Below are 18,709 nucleotides of genomic sequence, written 5' to 3' on the forward strand. Positions count from 1 at the left end.
ACAATGGTGTTCCAATCTAGGGACAGATGGCAGAGCCTAAGTATAAACCAGTGCCCAAGTATCCCGTGTGGTGACAACTCCATAGGAAGCAGGGAGACAGAAATAAAACCAGGGGAGGGCGTCAGAGCTGGGCCCTAGAGGGCCCTGAATGGCCATGAGAAGACTGGAACCTTCCTTTGGGGAATCGGGGGTGAAACATCAATGTACATGGAGACCAGTCAGGCCTGGGGAGGGGGAGAAGCTGGAAGGAAAGGAGGCTCAAGTTCCCACAGAGGACCAGCCTGCTGGGTCTTCTGATGGCTCACAGAGAGACTGGAAATCGAGATTTACATGAAATCTTCTGATTTTTCAAGGCTGACTCTAGTCTAAAATTTCTTAAAACAATGGAAGAGCAAAGGGAAACAATGCCTGGGGCCTGCCTGCTGCCTCTGGAAGGCCATGGAGAGCCACAGGTGTCTAAGCCGGGAAGGGCTGGATTATATTTGTGCCGCTGCTGCAGACAGCAAAGTCAACGGGTTCAAAAAATGTTGAAATACACTGAAGAGGGAACGTGTCAGCCACAGAAAGAACAGCTAATTCCACATGGCTACCCTTGGCATTAGCCTGAGGGGTAAGAAAAGCTTCGATATCCAAGTGAAGAACAAAGGAGCCACCTCTTGAATGCACACTATTTGAGAGCCATCTCTTGAATGTACAGTATTTGAGATCCCTAAGTGAGGAGGAAATATAGGGAAGGGAGGAAAAGGAGTTTTCTCTTTCTTAGAAATAGAGCCACAAAACCTCAAATAACCTGCCCAAAATTCACTTCCTCAGAACATATGACAAATGCACAGGGAACAATTCCACATAAGCCTTTCTCAGCCATGAGTGTGGAAACGGATGAAGGGAAGCAGGGTGCGCAAGCGCAAGGTGGGGGTCCAGAAAGTGCTGCAAGGTCGGGTCATAGGGAGGTGAGATCGGAACCATGCAGTAATATGGCAGGAACAGGAGAAACCAAAGGGAGATAGCCAGAGTCCATTTGGTCCGTCTGTTTCCAGTGATTCAACTCTGCCTAAAGCCAGTACCCCAAGTAATTGTACCAAGGAATGCCTGAAGGGAAAAGATAAAATGGAGGAGTATTCTTTCTTAGGGAGGCAGGCTGGTTCGAGGAAAGCTCACTCAAGAGGCAAGAAAAAAACTCGGCTAATGGCAGATTGATCAAAACAAACATTCTAATTTTCTATGTTCTATAAAGTTTTTTTGGTGTTCGTCCCACAATCCAGGTGCTTGGACCATTTTTAGACCTAGTGAAACAGTTTTATAGAAGTTCTTTCATTCACTGGAAAAGGTCCTTAATCATATAACTAGTATCAGCACTAAATATGGTAACATTGAGCTAAAAAGAACGAATAGATGAGATCATGAATCAGACAGAACTGCATCACTCTCCAAGGCTAAACGGAAAAAGTCAAGACCATCAGACGTGTCCCTCCTTTGAAGAGCATGATGACTCCTATAAAGCCGGAGAATGAGGAAAACAAGTGATCTCAAAGTCACTGGCAGTGCCTACATTTTGTAGGCTTGATTTGCATCATGCCTAACAGCAGTTTTCATTTTATTTTACTTTTTAGTGCCTATAATAAAAACATTTCAAAAGGTCTACAAATTGTCTGAGTCACAGAAGTTCTTTTTGTGGCCTACATACTGGGTGATACACACGCATAAATAACTATAGCAGAATATATTGGATGCTATAAAAAGGTAGAAACAACATTTTACAGAATTTTTTGCTTTTAAAATGATGCCTTGCTTTATACCGGAATTCACCATGGGATACAATTCAATATGTGGGTGATATGCCAGGAACAGATTTGTTCACATTTAAAAAAAAGACCTGAGAATTAGAACTTGCCAGAAGCTCAACCCAGGTTAACAGCATGAATCAACAAAAACCAAACGACATTCACCTACACTAATAAGAAGCAGCTGAAGAGATCACCACGCTCTGCAACGGATAAACTGTGTCTGGATAAACCGCGTCCGGACTCTGCTTTAGGCATTGTATGTTAGGAACACACTGCAGAACCGGGGGGCTGGACGTGGGTGAAGGTCTGGCGCCATGCCGTTTTAAAAGCCAATGGAGACCTGAGCTGGCGTTGGTGGAGAAGAGAAGACTGCACAAGAATCTCATCTCTCCCCTCACCATTCCTACAGCTCCAATTTGAGTTTCCTTCCCCACGGCTGCTTTGGGGTGTGCATTGTTGGTATCCACCCTACCCGTTCCCAATACCCGTCCCTCCTGGAGTGTGATGCCACCTCCCACTCCAGGAACTTGGAAAGCTGCTCCGTCTGAACAGCTAGGGCTACAGGACCCAAGCCTGGCCAATGGGCTCTGAGGAGAAGGGTCCAGGGACTTCCAGAAGTGGTTTTCCTTCCTCATGAGAAAAGTACCGCCTCTCTTCCTCAGCTGGGTATTGCTATGTCCACTGCCAGAACTGAGGCATCCACCCAGCAGCTAGGAGAGGCCAAGTGAAAGACCATGATAATGCCTTGGGCATCACAAAGAGAGAGGTGGATCCTGGGGTTTCCACGGCATAGATATGCCTCTGAACCAGCCCTTGAACCATTGTGCCTGGACTTCTTGTTACACGAGAGAACATTCTCATTGTTAAACTCGTTTTTAACCAGTGTCTCTGCTAACAGTATCTTGACTAACACACTCTCCGAACCATCCTCCTCCACCTAGACCCTAGAGGAACTGTTTTAAAAATCCAAATCTAATCCTGTCACTTGCCTGCTTAAAACCCTTCATCAGGCTTCCTTCCCATCTCCATTAGGAGAAAGTGCTAGGTAAAGTCCTCCAAGAATTGCCATAAATCCTCTCCCACTATCCCTGTACCATCAAGGCCATGACTTGCAAGCACACACCCTCATGTACTTATCTCCTACCCCTTTGGGCTCCAACAATGCTGAACCACAAGTTGACTGACACCCGGTCCTGTTTACAGCCCCTGGACCTTGGCACACAGACATGCATTGCACAACGTCCTGATCCACACACCTCTGCTTGTCTGAGTGACAAGCCAAAAGGCAGCTCAGATTTCCCCTCCTCTGTGATACTCTGTACCCTTCACCTTCTTACCTCCTCCATTCTCCTTACACACACACAGAGCACCGAACCAACGGTTGGACTTTCCCACACTGCTTACAATTATCTGTTGACATGCCTTATCCATATTGTGACCTCTTGGAGGTTGGGTCCATGACTTCTTGGGATTTTATGAAGCCTAACGTAGGCCTCCAGAGGGCTAGAGCCAGACAATGAAGAAGACCTGCTCTGTTGTGTTCAAAAAGATGAAGCTAGGACCAATGGGTAGAGTCTCCTGCAATAGATCTCAGAGCAGAGAAAGGAACTTGCAACAGTTAGAGCTGTCCAAGGAAAGGGTGTTTTTCAGACACGTTTATGAGGAGGGTTTTCCAGGAAGTCACAGATACCATTGGAAATGCTATGGAAAAGACTCTGAACCACATGGGAAGTCAGACCAAACAACGTCTAAATCTCTAAATTCTAAGGCCCTCACATACAAATAGGTGGAACTATTACATAAGGAAGAAGGTAGGAGAAAGGAAGTTGCAGGGAGAAAAGAAGGAGAAAGAGTGAAAAATATGAGAGATAGTAAAAGAAAAACCTGGAAGAGACAAAAGAGCAGGGGACAGAACACCACGCACCTTCAACCCACTGGACCACACCAGCCTCAAATCTGCGCTGAGTGCAGGCTCTGGTCCTCCCCTCAGCCAGGGACAGTGGGGTTCTCCTTGTATCCCATGGCCCAAACGTGACTCTGGCAGCGGCTAAGGTGGAACCAGTGCTCTGGACACTGTCCAGGCAGACAATTCTGGGAGTCACCATGGCTGGAGTGGTGCGATCTTGGCTGACTGCAACCTCCACCTCCGGAGTTCAAGTGATTCTCGTGCCTCAGCCTCCCAAGTAGCTAGGATTACAGGTGCGCACCATCCCATCCAGCTGATTTTTGTATTTTTTTAGTAGAGACGGGGTTTCGCCATGTTAGCCAGACTGGTCTCAAACTCCTGACCGCAAGTGATCCATGCACCTCGGCCTCCCAAAGTGCTAAGATTACATGCGTGAGCTACTGTGCCTGGCCCATGGCAACATCTTGAGAGTCAAATCCCCACTACCTAGAGCAGGGACCCCACTAACAAGCCCTTGGCATTGCTCCTTCCCTGTCTCACTCTTCTCACTCCCCACTCCTGCTTCCTGGGAATACCACTCAGGTAAACTACCTGCAGCCAAAGCTGCTTCCAGTGGGGAACCTAAGCTAAGACTCTGCCCACTCAAGACTGCCCCAAATACACACCTCCAAGCCCCCACATCCTTCATCAATTCTCTGTGGCCTCATGCAACGTGGATCCACAGTCCACGGACATTACATTCTATTCTTGAAAGCTTCAGAAGCTTCAACACTAAACTTTCCAACCGATTCAGGCACCATGGTGCCAGGCACCGCACTGAACAGCCTTGAAAATGGTTCTTGGAGATGATCTTAACTGATCCCTTGAGCCCTGGAGCACTGTGAAAAGAACAAGGCTCCCACAAAAAAGAACACGCATGCTCGCTCAGAGGCAAATGCCAGGTGCATTTAGGGAGTATCAAATAACTCCAGGTAAAACACCCAGTATGTGGGGGGTGGGAGGTGAGGCAGGAGAAGAACTGGCATGGAGACCCAGACGCCACCCAGAGACTCTGGCCTACAAAAGCAGGTGTTTCATGGAGAGAAATATCAGGTTCTCCACCGCACTCCTGTACAAGCCATGCTCCTCACAGCCCTGAACCCAGCTCTCTCAACAGCCACATGACTGTGTGTTTCTCATCCCCAGCATTAGGTCTGGTGTGTCGTAGATGCTCAATACTTCTTCGTGGAAAGCAAGGAGGGTACAGGGTAAAAGAGAAAGACACTTTAACAACAGCCTTGTTAGTAATTTTCTGCCCACTCCCTTTTGGACACCAAAGTCCTCGTTCCCATTTGACCTGGTTGCTCACCAATTTCCCTATATCCTCACTTGACCCACCTTTGTACTTTTCAAAGTTGCGTTTTGTCCCCTGAAATGCCTCGAGGACCCGACCTAGAAGTCATGCTGATGATGCTTTTCTGAGGGCTTGGCATGTCCCATCTTCAGTTCACATGTATCATGGCCTTTCAATAGGTGTTTTTCAATAGTCTCCTGCTTCCTCTGAATTGCTGACTTTTTCAACTTTTCTACTCTTTCCTGTCTATGCTCCCCTCCAGCTTCCTTTCTTCCTTTTAAAAATTCCATAGCTGTCGATGGGTTTTGCTTCTCCCTCTTGCGCATGGCTGCTGCATTCAGTCATGCCGTGAGCTTGCTACAAACCAGCTGGCCTGAGCAGCACAGGGGCTGGTTAATGGAACCACTGCAGAGAGGTAGTGGGCATGCAGCACTCCGGAGTCAGAGAGGCTGGGTTAGGACACAACTTAACCACTTGCAAAGGAACTCTGGACAATTGATGAATCTCCCTAAAATCACTCATAAAAAATAAAATATAAATAAGGACCTCAAAAGATGGCTGTAAGGTGGAAGAACACAATTACGGGGAAAACCCCAGACACATATTAAATATCTCATCAATGTTCGCCTTCTCTGCCTTTTGAAAACATATCTGGGACACCACCCCAAAGACTCTCTCAACCACACACCACAGCTACTCTCATTCCCCTGTCTTGGCAGCCACCCTGATGGGCACCAAATTTAGAAATCCTAAGAACCAGATGAAATTAAGTTAGTCGTCAGAGGCAATCTTGAGGAGAGCTTCCCACCTCTGCTCTCAGCATCTGGTGGTTCTAGACAGCCATGAGAGCGTCCCATGCACCCACACACCTGGAGCAGGGACTATGGCTCTGCACAGTCACTCAAGAAAACCCCTACCTCCACATTCTCCCAATGAACAAAGCCCTCCTCCTATGTTGGAAATGCTTCAGTTTGTTCAATCCAAAATATCTTGTTTTAGATTCAGCTTTGTTTTTAAGACTTTTATCACCTCTACCATGCAAATTAAATAAATATACAACATAATGTCCCAGCTAGTATTAATAACAACAATTAAGATTAGATATTTCTTGGACAATGATATGACAACACACTAAGAACCACGACAGAAAGTCTGGGTTCTAATGTAGACTCAGGGACCCCAAGCCTTTAGGGGCAGATGGGATGGTAGAAGGTCATTCTGCACAATTTCCAATCATCAGGCAGTTATCACGCGACCATCTCAAAGGAATGCTGTCTACACTACCTGTGAACCACTCTGGGAACAGAGACTTCACCACTACAAAACAGACAGTTTGTATGGTGACCTGCTTAGAAATAAGCTGCGCTGCCCAACCCACCTTGCACATGCACAAAAGCCCTCTGAGCTGCCGTAAACCACAGGCTTGATTCACTAAATTGCAGATAGTCTCGACCGTGATTACTGACATAGTTTGGCTGTGTCCCCATCCAAATCTCAACTTGAATTGTATCTCCCAGAATTCCCACGAATTGTGGGAGGGGCCCAGGGGGAGGTAACTGAATCATGGGGCCTGGCCTTTCTTGTGCTATTCTCATGATAGTGAATAAGTCTCATGAGATCTGATGGGTTCATCAGGGGTTTCCGCTTTTGCTTCTTCCTCATTTTTCTCTTGCCACCACCATGTAAGAAGTGCCTTTCACCTCCCGCCATGATTCTGAGGCCTCCCCAGCCAAGTGGAACTATAAGTCCAATTGAACCTCTTTTTCTTCCCAGTCTCGGGAAGAAAAATGTCTTTATCAGCAGTGTGAAAACAGACTAATACAGTTACTATGAGCAAATTCATTGCTATGAGTTTTCAGGAAACACGAACAGAGAAGGACACTTTGCGACACCCATACTCCTGCTCCAGAGCCATTCGTCATCTTGTGCAATCGTGGCAACAGAAGAGAGGTGCAGCACTGGGGTTGTCTGAGTGTCTGCCAGCTTCCTACCCCAGGCTGTCCTGGTATGTGTGGTGTTTGCTGCAGAATGAGGCGGGGAGTCACACCCCTGGTTTCCAGTCTCTGTGCATTTTTATTTGAAAAAGAGTGGCTGCTTGTGACTAGGGAGGGCCAGGTCAACGTTGGGTCTGATTTCAAGTCTGCCTCTTCAGTTTCTGTGCCTGCTTGCTGGTTACCCCCTCCTCAATTTGGTTAAATATTCATACCAAGCGTGTCTCCTCTGAAAACAGAATTTCTGTCTCCAATACAAAGTTTAACAATTATCCCCTACTACTAAATAAAATATTCTCTTTATGAGATGATTTTCCTTTCTCACTTTCCTATTTTCAAATTTTCTTAAGTGTCCATATTCAAACAAAATATCATTTCTGCACAAAAGAAATAAATAATTACTTGGAAATTATGTACACACTATAGCATTTATTTTCTCTTTACTAGCCACAGTCTGTTCAGCAGATACTTATGGAGTAGTCAGCACTGTTCTAGCATTTGTAATACCTTAGTGTACAAAACAGAGAGAGAGCCCTGCCCTCTGGAGTTTACATGCTAGTGAGGAAAGAGACAATCAGTTTAAAACATAATAAATAACTAAACCACACAGCACGTTAGAAGGTAATCATTTTACCTGAGTCTGGTAGAGTGCAGGCCTTTGGGAAGTAGGAAAAGTTTGTGTTGTTAAATACAGATGCTCCTCAACTTATGATGAGTTACATTCCAATAAACCCATCCTAAGTCAAAAATATCATTGTCAAAAATGCACTTAAAACACCTAACCTGCCAAATATCATAGCTTAGCCTATCCTATCTTAAATGTGCTCAGAACACTTACATTAGCCTAGAGTTGGGCAAAACCATTTCACACAAAGCCTATTTTATAATAATAATAATATAAATTTTATAGTAATAAAAAATAGAAACAAAAATAAAAGATCAAAATTTCTAATTCGAAGTACAGTTTCTACTAAATGCATGTCACTTTCACACCATAGTAAAGTTGAAAAACCGTAAGTCCACCCATTGCAGTTGCGGACCACCAGCAACTGTGGTCTAGTGCCCTAAGCTCTGTCTGATCTAACAAACACATCTCACAAACACATCTCACACAAACAGTCCCTACTGATAAGGACAGTTATTGTGAGTGGCTTGCCTGTCTATTTGTTTACTTATTTCTTGTTTGTCTCCCCTAGATGGATGTAAGTTCAGTAAGGCCTGGCAGGATTTAGCCTATTTCACTGGAAGTCTTCCACCGTGCCCAAAACATCATAGATAGTAAAGTGGGGAAAGACAGGAAGGGCCTCCAACCTCACACAGTGGGAAAGTCATCCAGTCATTAAACAAATAGCAAGGGAAGGCCTCTTGCAGCCACTCAGGACGCTGCACATGCCACGGTCTCCCTCAGTCTCCACCATCCTGGTGAGGCAGGACTGCTCCCAAGCCCCTTATAAAGATAAGGAGTCCGAAGCTCGGTGAGGAGAAGAGGTGACTGAGCCTGGACACTGTCTCCATGAGTGGTACACCCAGCATCACATTGAAGTCCAGCAGCCTGCAAGGTGAGCGCTTCCCACAACCCCTCCTGCCTCTGATGCTCTGCAGGAGCAGAAGTTTAGAAAGAGTGCAGAGAGGAACCAGCCGAACAGCTGGCTCCACAATGAGATGAGGTGATAGTCAAATGGCAAAGTGTAATACTGTGTTAAGGTGCTGGAGAGAACAGAGGGGCCTGGCTAGTGGACTATAAGTGGTTTCAATAAAAGGCATTTTTGCTTTCACCACAGGCAGAGGTGTGAAAGGCTTACAGGAAGCTCAGGCACCACAGCATGCAAACACTGCTCCTTTCCTTCTCACCCACCTCTCTCTGAGCAGGGGCTTGGGCCCAGCTGTGCTAAAGGCTGAGGTAGACGAAGTAAGGCTGGCATTTGCTCTGTGCATCCTCAGCCAAGCGCCCATACACAGCAAGAGGCCATTTGCTCCTAATCACTCCATGCAGATGAACGGCCCCACTCCAGCCCGAGAAGGCACGCTGCACAGTCAACTGCACAGTTGGCTCCCGGGTGCAACAGGCTGCTGCTCTGGCCTGGCATCCAGGCCCAGGCATTTAAAGTCCCCTATTGGCTTGTCAATGGTGTGCCCAGCTCTTCCAGCTCTGCAGTGATTCTCTGTGCTATGAAGAGGCAATTCTTGGGGATTGAAGAAAGCCAGAGTTCTGTTCAACAAATAAATGCCTATCTCCCTTGCACTGAGATACAATGAACCTTCTGGTAATAAGCACGGCTGCTAAAAGTCACTCTTCCGAGATGGTAGGATACAGCGCAGGGCCAAAGACCCCCAGCTGAAATCCAAGCCCCCTAGCTGATGCTGACGGGGAATTTTGGATAATTTACTAACACTTGTTTCAGAGAAAACCCGGTTGAGTCCCTGGGCCTAGGCAGGGTGCTTGACAAAGAACAGCTGACAAGCAGATGTCTTTTAACAAACACATCCTAATGTGGAAAATAAGGACACCGAAGGGAGCCCCAGGGGTTTCTGGGCTTGCTGGGGTGACCCAGGTCAAACTCCAAGTCCTCTAGATGCCATTTTCAAAATGAACCCTCTTCAAATATCCTGCTTCTTCATGTACATGTGCTAATTACACAGTTAATTCTAAGGTAGTATTTTGTTTTCATTGTATTGAATGTTTAAAAATATCTTCACTGAGCTCTAGAAAAGACTCTTTAGCCAAGAGAAAACAGAATGTAATTTTAGTGAGATCAATAGCTGAAATCTGTCTGAGATGCTTAAGAGGAAGAGCACACTAGATGACATCAAACCCCAGTGAGCTCTTTATGGCCCTACCCTGGGTAAGCCAGATCACAGGAAGGGAGGCCAGCATTAATTCCATCAGCAACAGTGGGTGTAAATGGAAATTTCTAACAGTAGTCTATGCCTGTCTAGTATTTTCCCTTTAGTCAATATCACAGAAGGGAGATCAACTATACTATTAATACTATTATAATAACAATACCTTATCTTCTGAGTGGCACATGACAGTTTACAAAGCACTGTCTTGAGCATTAACTAGCACCTGTATCTCTACTATTATGTACATGGCATGTGTTTTTAACCAGTCTTTTAAGGGTTCACTTTTTTTCCAAGGCTCTTATAAATGTGCTCTTCCAGAAAACAAGGCCCTTAGCTGAAGTCCCCTTGTCCATCAAGTTTTACATCATGCAGCACCACTGTCTGAATTCAGCTGTCATTGTCAGCATACTGGGATGGTAATTTTCAAATTTTTTTAACTGGCAGGAGCTTTTTCCTGCTTTTTAGGCAATCTCAATATAAATAATCTAAAAAAAGTACAATCTCTCAGATTAAAGTGAATGAGCTCCCTGCCAGCCTCCCACACCTGTCCTCAGTATTCTTCTAGTCCCAGCCACTAAGCAACTCTGAAGAGCCCTGGAAACAGCATTAAAACTACTGAATTAAGAGGTACAGTGTACTACGTGAAATACGGCTTTAACAAAAAGTCACTGTTTTGAGAACGCATGATGAAAAACACAAGATTTGGAGTTAAAGGCATCTCAGCTAAGATCCAGGCTCTGCCTTTCAGCTGGATGAATTTGGAACACTCTAAACTTATCTGCATCTGCAGAATGAGTCACTGTAAGGTTCACATGAGGGAACAGATGCAGAACCTTCTCACATGGTGAGCACACACAGTAGGCTTTCAGGAAACACTGGCTGCATGCCAGTCTGTCGACTTCACGCCCAATTATATACATGAAAGTCCTACTCAGGCCTGAGGTTGGGATGATGACTTCTTTCTGGTTTCTTTCGGTTTGTATTAATCATGAGCTGCGACAGAGCCCCTTTCTCCCCCTACCACCTAGCTTTGTGCGTTTTCCCCAGGTGCTGATGCTCCAAGAACTGTAACTTTCACTGTGCAGCACTGCTCTTCAACCCTAGCACATTAGCATACTTCTTTATATTTCATTTCCTTTGGAAAAGACAGCATTTGAAAAAGTGATGACATCGCACAACGTGGAATGCAAACCTTAAAGAGGGAAGCAGATGTTGGCAAATGGTGTGCATGCCCCGCGGGGCTGAAGCCCTTTCTATGACGACAGGGTCTAGTGCCCCTGCAGGGAGTGAGATGTTCTGATGCAAACTGGAGGGGACCATTACTTAAGGAACAGAGACCCGAGCGTGTCCCTTTTAAGGGCAGATAATAAGCAAGCATCCAGAGTCCCCTGAAGTTCTGGTGAGGTCCTGCTTGCCCTTCCACGTCGCCCCTCCCCCCTCTCCACCCAGCTCCCAAGGCTGACCAGTAAGGACCACACAATGGGCCCTACTGCTCTCTGGCTTCCAACTGGGTTTGACCAGTGGAGGCACCAGCAGGAGATGAAAGGAAATGGGGAAAGTCGGGGATGGGGAGCAGTATTTATTCTCCAGGCTCCCTCCCTGCCAGGTTATCACAGGCTGACCTCATCCTCTACCAAAGGCCACAGCTCTCTCCCTCGGTGTTCTGGTGACTTCTCTCCCCTCTTGTGTGTTTACCCTGCTTTTCCCAGCTGCCCTCGGTCCCACAGGTACACCATGACTTGATGCTGTACCTAGACCAGAACATACTTTTACAAAGGGTCTCTTCCTTAGCTTCTCTAGTCACACATTTGAGCATGCCACCTGCCTCCTGTTGGTACCCTGATGGCTCCCCCAGGCCATCCTCTTAGTCATCTCTGGATGACTCCTCGCTCCATTCCCATTTTCATTCCCTCCCACTACAAGCATCTCCCACTGACCTCCTTCCACTGATACTGCTCCGGCTCAAGTCAGCAACGAGGCACACCCCCAATCAATGGAGTCTTCACCCCAGCTTCCTCTCACTGAACTCCCTGCATCACTCATCATCCTCAACCCATCCGCTTCCTCCTTCAAGGTAGCCTTCCCTGCTCTCCATCCCTGGACACTCCCCTGTGGGGGCCTCAGGAGGCTGCCCTTGGTGGTTTATCCTTCTGCTTCCACCCAGTCTCTACTCATGCCCCTCCTCCACTGAGGACCTCATGCTAGACTCCACGTGGGGCGGCATGCCCTCTTGGATATCCTGCAGTCCCCAGATCAATGTGTGGCCACAACTAACTCACCCTTTTTCCTCCAAATCTGCATCTCCTCTGGGCTCTCAAGGTTGGCAGGGATGCCACCATTCACCCTGGTCCCCAGCCAAAACCAAGGCAGCTCCCCTCTGCGAACTCTGCCAGGTCCTGTGAACTGCACTTCCTTGACATCTCCACAATATGTCCCCTTATTTCAACTCCCACTGCTGGATTCAGATGCCACAGAACACTTCCCAGGATCACTGCATCAGCCTCCTCTGTGTCTGAGCAAATGCTATTTCCTCTTGCAAGGGTAGTACTCCCCTCCTCTCCTCCCCTCTTCTCCCTGCCCTCCTCTACCCCCAGCCCCACTCTTCAGTGCTCGACGTCTCTGTAGCCTTCAACTCTCTGCCCCAGCGAGCCACCAGAGAGCACCCACCTCACCTGCTCTCCAGGCTGCTAGAGAAGCCCCTTCCACAAGCTCTCCCAATACCTTGTGGAGCACCCACCAGCTGTTCCCCACACTTATCTCAGAGTGTCAGAGTCATTTCTGCCCAGCCCACTACACTCTAAGAAACTACTATACAGACCTCCATTCATGCGACATCCTGTAGTCAGCAACCACTCCATGCCTGGTACACAAAGAGTAGGCGCTCGGTGCCTCTGATGCACTCATGAATGACCCACAGGAGGGCTCAAAAAGTTCCCATTCTTCTCAGCCCCTAACGTGCAGGCACATGTGCACATGCACACACACACACACACACACACACACACACACACACACCCTTAACTCTGATGAGCTTCCCACACCTTACTAAGAAAAACAAAGCCCATTTGATACAAAATCTCTCAAGTAAGTTCCTTTTACCTCAAAATCTTCCTGTTCTTTGTTTACCATCCCACCTCTTCTAGAAGTGCTTCTTTAGGAGGGGTCCTGTGGCCGGGCATGGTGGTTCACACCTGTAATCCCAGCACTTTGGGAGGCCAAGGCGAGCAGATCACCTGAGGTCAGGAGTTTGAGACCAGCGTGGCTAACATGGTGAAACCCTGCTTCTACCAAAAATACAAAAAATTAGCCGGGCATGGGGGCGCACACCTATATTCCCAGCTACTCGGGAAGCTGAGGCAGGAGAATCGCTTGAACCCAGGAGGTGGAGGTTGCAATGAGCCGAGGTCGCACCATTGCATTCCAGTTTGGGCAACAAGAGCAAAACTCTGTCTCAAAAAAATAGGAGGGGTCCTGCTTTGTTTTCCAGCCCTACACTCTTAGTGCAGGATTTGCGTCCGAATTTCTTACCCTTGAATTCCCCACAGAACAGAGTATCTCACATGTAACTCGTAATTCAAAGTATGTTGAATTGGAAGCAGGCAACTAAAGAGTTTAATGTAAATGCAATCACACATTTGTAGAAATTAGTTCATATGCATTCATTTATAATTAACACTGCACTAATATTCTAAAGTACCTATTCTAAATTGCCCAAGAACTAATTAAATCTCAGAATGCCCCAGAGAGTAAAGTGTTATCAGCCACATTAATAAAAAGCCCACAACAGTTGTCAGAACAGCAGACTGATAAGGGATTATATTCTGGGACTCTGCCACCAATTCACTCCACACTGCTAATAAAGCAGTTTTAATTATTGATTACACCCACACTGATTCGAACCTGCTGAATGTGCTCTTCCTCGCCCTCTTCCCTTAGGCTTTCTCGCATCCTCCTATATCTCTTACTACAGGGGAAGAACAGGCAGGCACCTGCTTCCAGCATGTGCTCTTCCCAATAAAGAGAAACTGCCAGGAAAATAAACCTGTGAAGGGCACGAGGCCATTGTCTCACAGGTCACCCATGGCGGCCTTACATACTAACTGCAGTGATTGTCCCAGACCTCAAATGTGCCTGCATTCCCCTATCTGCAGGCTTTTGTATGAACCATCACGAGAGAAATGCCTATTCCATCTCCTTCTCCACCTTCTCCCCCAGTCCCAAGTCATCCTCAGAGATGGAGTTCAGGGCTACCTCCTCCTTCAAGAAGCCTTCCAGGAAACGCTCCAGCAAGTGGTCCTGCCCTGCTCCCTCTGCAGGTGGTTCACCTCACCACATTTGGTTGTCTATTTACATCACTGTCCTCCTCCCCAGGCACTCAGCTGCTCAAGGGAATAGACTTGTCTTACTCAACTTTGATCCCCAAAGTCTGACTTGGTGCCCAACAATAGCACAAGTTCAGGAAGTGGGAGAAAAAAAGAGAAGAGATTCTGCCTGCTGCAGGAGTCTCACTCAGCCCTTGACTTTAGCCAATCTCCCTGTGATGGGAAGCCTCAGCCCCAGCAGTATGTCCAGATGTACAGGCTGCTGGGCACGAGCCGTGAGCCACGTGTTCAGTACTTCTCCGGTCTCAGGCATGGTCACCGTGAGACCGTTAATTAGAGCAAAGGCCCCCTGTGCCATGGGCTACATCACACTGGATCAATCGTGGACCCTCCACACTGAAAATCGCTGCACTTCAGAGAGCAACTGTAGGATGAGGCCACTCCCTTTGCCTCCAGACACCAGCCTACCACATAGTCCCTGAGAGCCAGCAGCCGCAGGGTGACCTCCAAGATGCTGAGGAAGAAAGTCTTCCTTTCACAGTTCTGCTGGGGTGGGATTCTGCCCCTGCAAAAGGCCCTGAGTACCCTTTGGTCATTAAGAGTCACAATAAGCAGCAGTGGGAGAGGGGGGCTGCAGTGTCAGCCCTGTTTCTATCTGACATGTCTCTCAGGAAGACATCACTGCCAACAGGACTGGAGGTTTGAATTCACACGACTCTGAAGCAGGGGAGCGTGGAGAATCGGAGGACCACCCAATCAGCAGCAGCATCCCTGAAGACTGATGGATCCACGTGGCAAGAGCTTGAGCTGGAAAGTCCAAGGGTCCTAGACCAGAATCCCTGTTCCAACAGGTACTCTCTAGCTGGGCTTAGGCAACTTCCTTCACCTAGCAGAGCCTCAGCTTCTTCATCTAAAAAAGAGAATGGTGCCCTGCCCCAGTGGTCGAATCAGAGCAGAGACACAGTGCCCCACACAGCAGCAGAGGCAGATGGTCACACAGAAGAAGAGGCAGCGTCACTGGGGAGCCCAGCTGGGGCAGGTGAGCTTCACAATCCCTGCTGAGCCAAGAACTGGGATTCCACGGATCTCTGGGAAGTTCTGGAGGGGATGGCTCAGGGAAGTTTGGAAGTGTGTAAACACAAGTATGTAAAACTCAGCAGCCTGGTTAACACTGCAGTTTGCTCATCCAGGCCCACCTCTGGGCATGCTGGAGCTCCCCATGGGCTCAAGGCTCTGGGGCCCACACTTTCTTCCTTCTCTAAACAACTCTGATAATGTAGCTTACTGTCATTTATCTGAGCTTTTTATCTGAACTATGTAAAGTATAAGAAGCTGCTGGAGTAATAAAGGTCATACACAGGTACTTTCACCAGGCAGATGTTTGCCGGGACTGCCTACATTGAGGGATTGTGCATGCCATAAAGAATGAGACAGAATTCATTAGCTAGCTTTGAGGGTACAGGGGGCTTCCCAGGAAGAAAGCTCTGCCTGCACAAAAGAATCCATAAGACCAGTGGGGGCCAATGGCATACAGAGACAGTGGCCTAAGACAAAGCAGTCTCAGGACAGGGTGAGATCCATCCATGTCCAGCAAGAGCAGGGGAGGGAAAGCCACGGGAGGCCCACCGGCAGGAAGCAGCCTGACCCCATGTATTTTACACCATTCTGGGAGTGCGGGCTTATAGGGAGCAGACTCAGAAGGAGAGCGGCCAGTCTGAAGACTGTTGCAAAACTGTCTGCATTAGAGGTGATGACAGTGGACCTGGGGCAATGAGAGGAAGGAAGAAATGTTGGCAGGACTGGGGACTGAGAGATTTGCAGATGAGACAAAAGGAGGAATTCGAGATGGCTCCAAGGTTTCCAATTCAAATGGCTGCATTAGACGGCAAACAAGAGGTAACTTCCATACATAACCCTTAAGTACCAGTGAAAAAACTGATAGCTGAAGCCGAAATGTGAAAAGCAGGAGAGCAGGAGGAAAAAGAACTAAAGCATCTGCAGATTCAGAAATGCATGGGAGCAAGTATAGATGGCAGCCAGTCAGCCACAACATGTACCTACCCAGGGCCTCATCTGAGTCACTGGGCCACACCACAGAGAAATACAAATGCAAGGTATAAAATAATTAACTTTGGGTTTCCCACCCATTAGATATTGTACAGTTCTTGTGTCTGCTGTATGAGAATCCATATTTTCACTCAAAAGATATTCACTGAGCACTTGCTGTGTGCCCGGCACTGTTCTGAATGCTACAGACAGAGCCAGGAAGTGATACACCCACACAGAAAAAGTTACTTGGTCTGTTTGTGCCGAATCCACCAAGGACTAGAGTCTGGCCCTGGACTTTGGTAAAGAAAAGAGAGATGTGTCCCTATTCTGTCCACAGGGAACCAGGCCGTGGTGCAAGTGTGGATTCCTGCCTTCTCAGTTTGGAGACAAATACACACACCAGCAATTCCAACACACCGAGGCACGTGCGCGGCACAATGAGAAGCCCAGATCTGCTGGGAAGCTGAGCACAAGGGAGGGGGACTCTGGAGCTGGGCCTGGAAAGGGGAAATAAAGCTGTGACTTGAAGACCAGCAGGAATCACTGGCACAGGAGAGGGTTGTGGCATTCCATAGAGAAGGGACAGATGACAGGATGGGGCCCCGCTGGCTCAGGGGGCTTCTGCATATGCCAGGATCATTGAAGGTCAAGCATATTCAGAGGTAAAAGGGCAAACGGACATCACAAGCAAAAAGAATGACATGTACAAGAGATGGTGAGGGCACAGGACACTGGAGGCTTTCAGAGGTTCACTGCAGATCTAGAGGTGGGCAAAGTGGGAGAGGGTAAGAAGTCAGGGTGCAGAGCAGGCAGCGGCTAGGTCCTAAGTAACATAGCAGGTTCTTAAGGCGCTTAGGCTGTCCCTGAACAGCAGTGGGTGTCACAAAGGGGTGCGTTCAGAGTAAGGATAAGATGGGTTCATATGTCATAAAGATGCTTAACGCTAGGGAGACAAGGTGGAAGGTGAAAGGCATACAGCCAGGGGATGCCTAGGAAAATCCACTGAAATTCGGGAATAAAAAAGAATTCTTCTTTACCTTTCTTAACTCATCCTTTTGAAACTTACCATTATAATACCATGTGTGTATTATAACACCTATAGCATATTAATACAGCAGTCTATGTATCTGAGCCAAAAGGCCTGAGTCTACATCCCTGGTCCATTGCTTACTACAGGGTGACACTGGATAGGATGCTTGCCCCAGTTTCCTCATCCATGAAATGGGAATAAAAACAGTAACTACCTCATAGGGCTTTTATGAAGAGGAAATGAATTAATATTTGTAAGACACTCAGAAGAGAGGCAGGCCCATAGTAAGAACTCTACAGATGCTTATTGAATTTTAAAAATGCAGCTTATTACTAAATAAATATTTAATGGGGATAAATCCCCCAAAATATCTGCAAACCACTGGTGTACACAGAGCATGAATTGGGGTAAATAGGCAGACTGGAGCTGTCACAGAGTCCACAGAAAAGATGATGGACCCACGAGGACAACAGCAGGGATAGGGGAAGGATTGAAGTGATATTCAGCAGGTAGTCAATCGACCACGGTAAGTGTCGGGATGTGACGGGGATGTTTCTGGCTGAATGGTGGGGGCCAGTCAGCAGGATGAAATAGAGGAGGATCATCAGTTGGGAGCTGGATGAGTTTCGGATTGAACACACTGCATAACTTAAACTGCCTGGGGGACACCCAAACTGAAACATGGGCAAGGAAGATATTTGCAAGACATGAGAACACAGCTGGTGGTGAAATCAGGCAAATGGATAAGAACCATGCGGCCGTCACTAGTGACGGTCACCAAGCATTTCCAGGGCTCCCCTACCCCGAGAATAGGGCAGAACTGCACTTCTTGGGCCCTTGAACTCAGGTGGGGCCATGTGATTCCCTGCTGGCTGATATAGTTTGGATTTGTGTCTCCACCCAAATCTCATGTTGAATTGGAGGAGAGGCCTGGTGGAAGGTGATTGGATCATGGGGGTGGATTTCCTCCTTACTGTTCTCATAATAGTGAGATCTGATGTTCTCATGAGATATGATGGTTTAAAAGTGTGAGGCACTTCCCCCTTCATTCACTCTCTCTCCTGCCACCATATAAAGACGGTCCTTGCTTCCCCTTCAACTTCTGCAATGATTGTAAGTTTCCTGAGGCCTCCCAGTCATGCTTCCTGTTAAGCCTGTGGAACTGTGAATCAATTAAACCTTTCTTCATAACTTATCCAGTCTCAGGTAGTTCTTTATAGCAGTGTGAAAACGGACTAATACACTGGCAAGTGAACTGTGGAGAGAAGAAATGACAGATGCTCTTCTGAGCCAAGGTGAAACCACCCAGGCTCTCTTCCCTCCTGTACCATGACCAGCTACCTTCAAGATGGTGGCTGCTCACTCCAGCTGGGTCCCTGAGTAAGCAGAGTCCCTGAGGACCTGCAACACCGACAAGAAAGCAAACACAGGAATATAGAGCCACTGTCAC

General features: G+C 47.4%; 1 protein-coding gene across 14 annotated transcripts in view; it reads right to left on the reverse strand.

The window, feature by feature from the left end:
- ZFAT (zinc finger and AT-hook domain containing) overlaps positions 1–18,709 on the reverse strand; it is a 354,552-nt gene that overhangs the window by 133,559 nt on the left and 202,284 nt on the right. The gene's annotated exons all lie outside the window — the stretch shown is intronic.

This window comes from Homo sapiens, chromosome 8 (assembly GCF_000001405.40).
Source record: "Homo sapiens chromosome 8, GRCh38.p14 Primary Assembly".
NCBI lineage: Eukaryota > Metazoa > Chordata > Mammalia > Primates > Hominidae > Homo > Homo sapiens.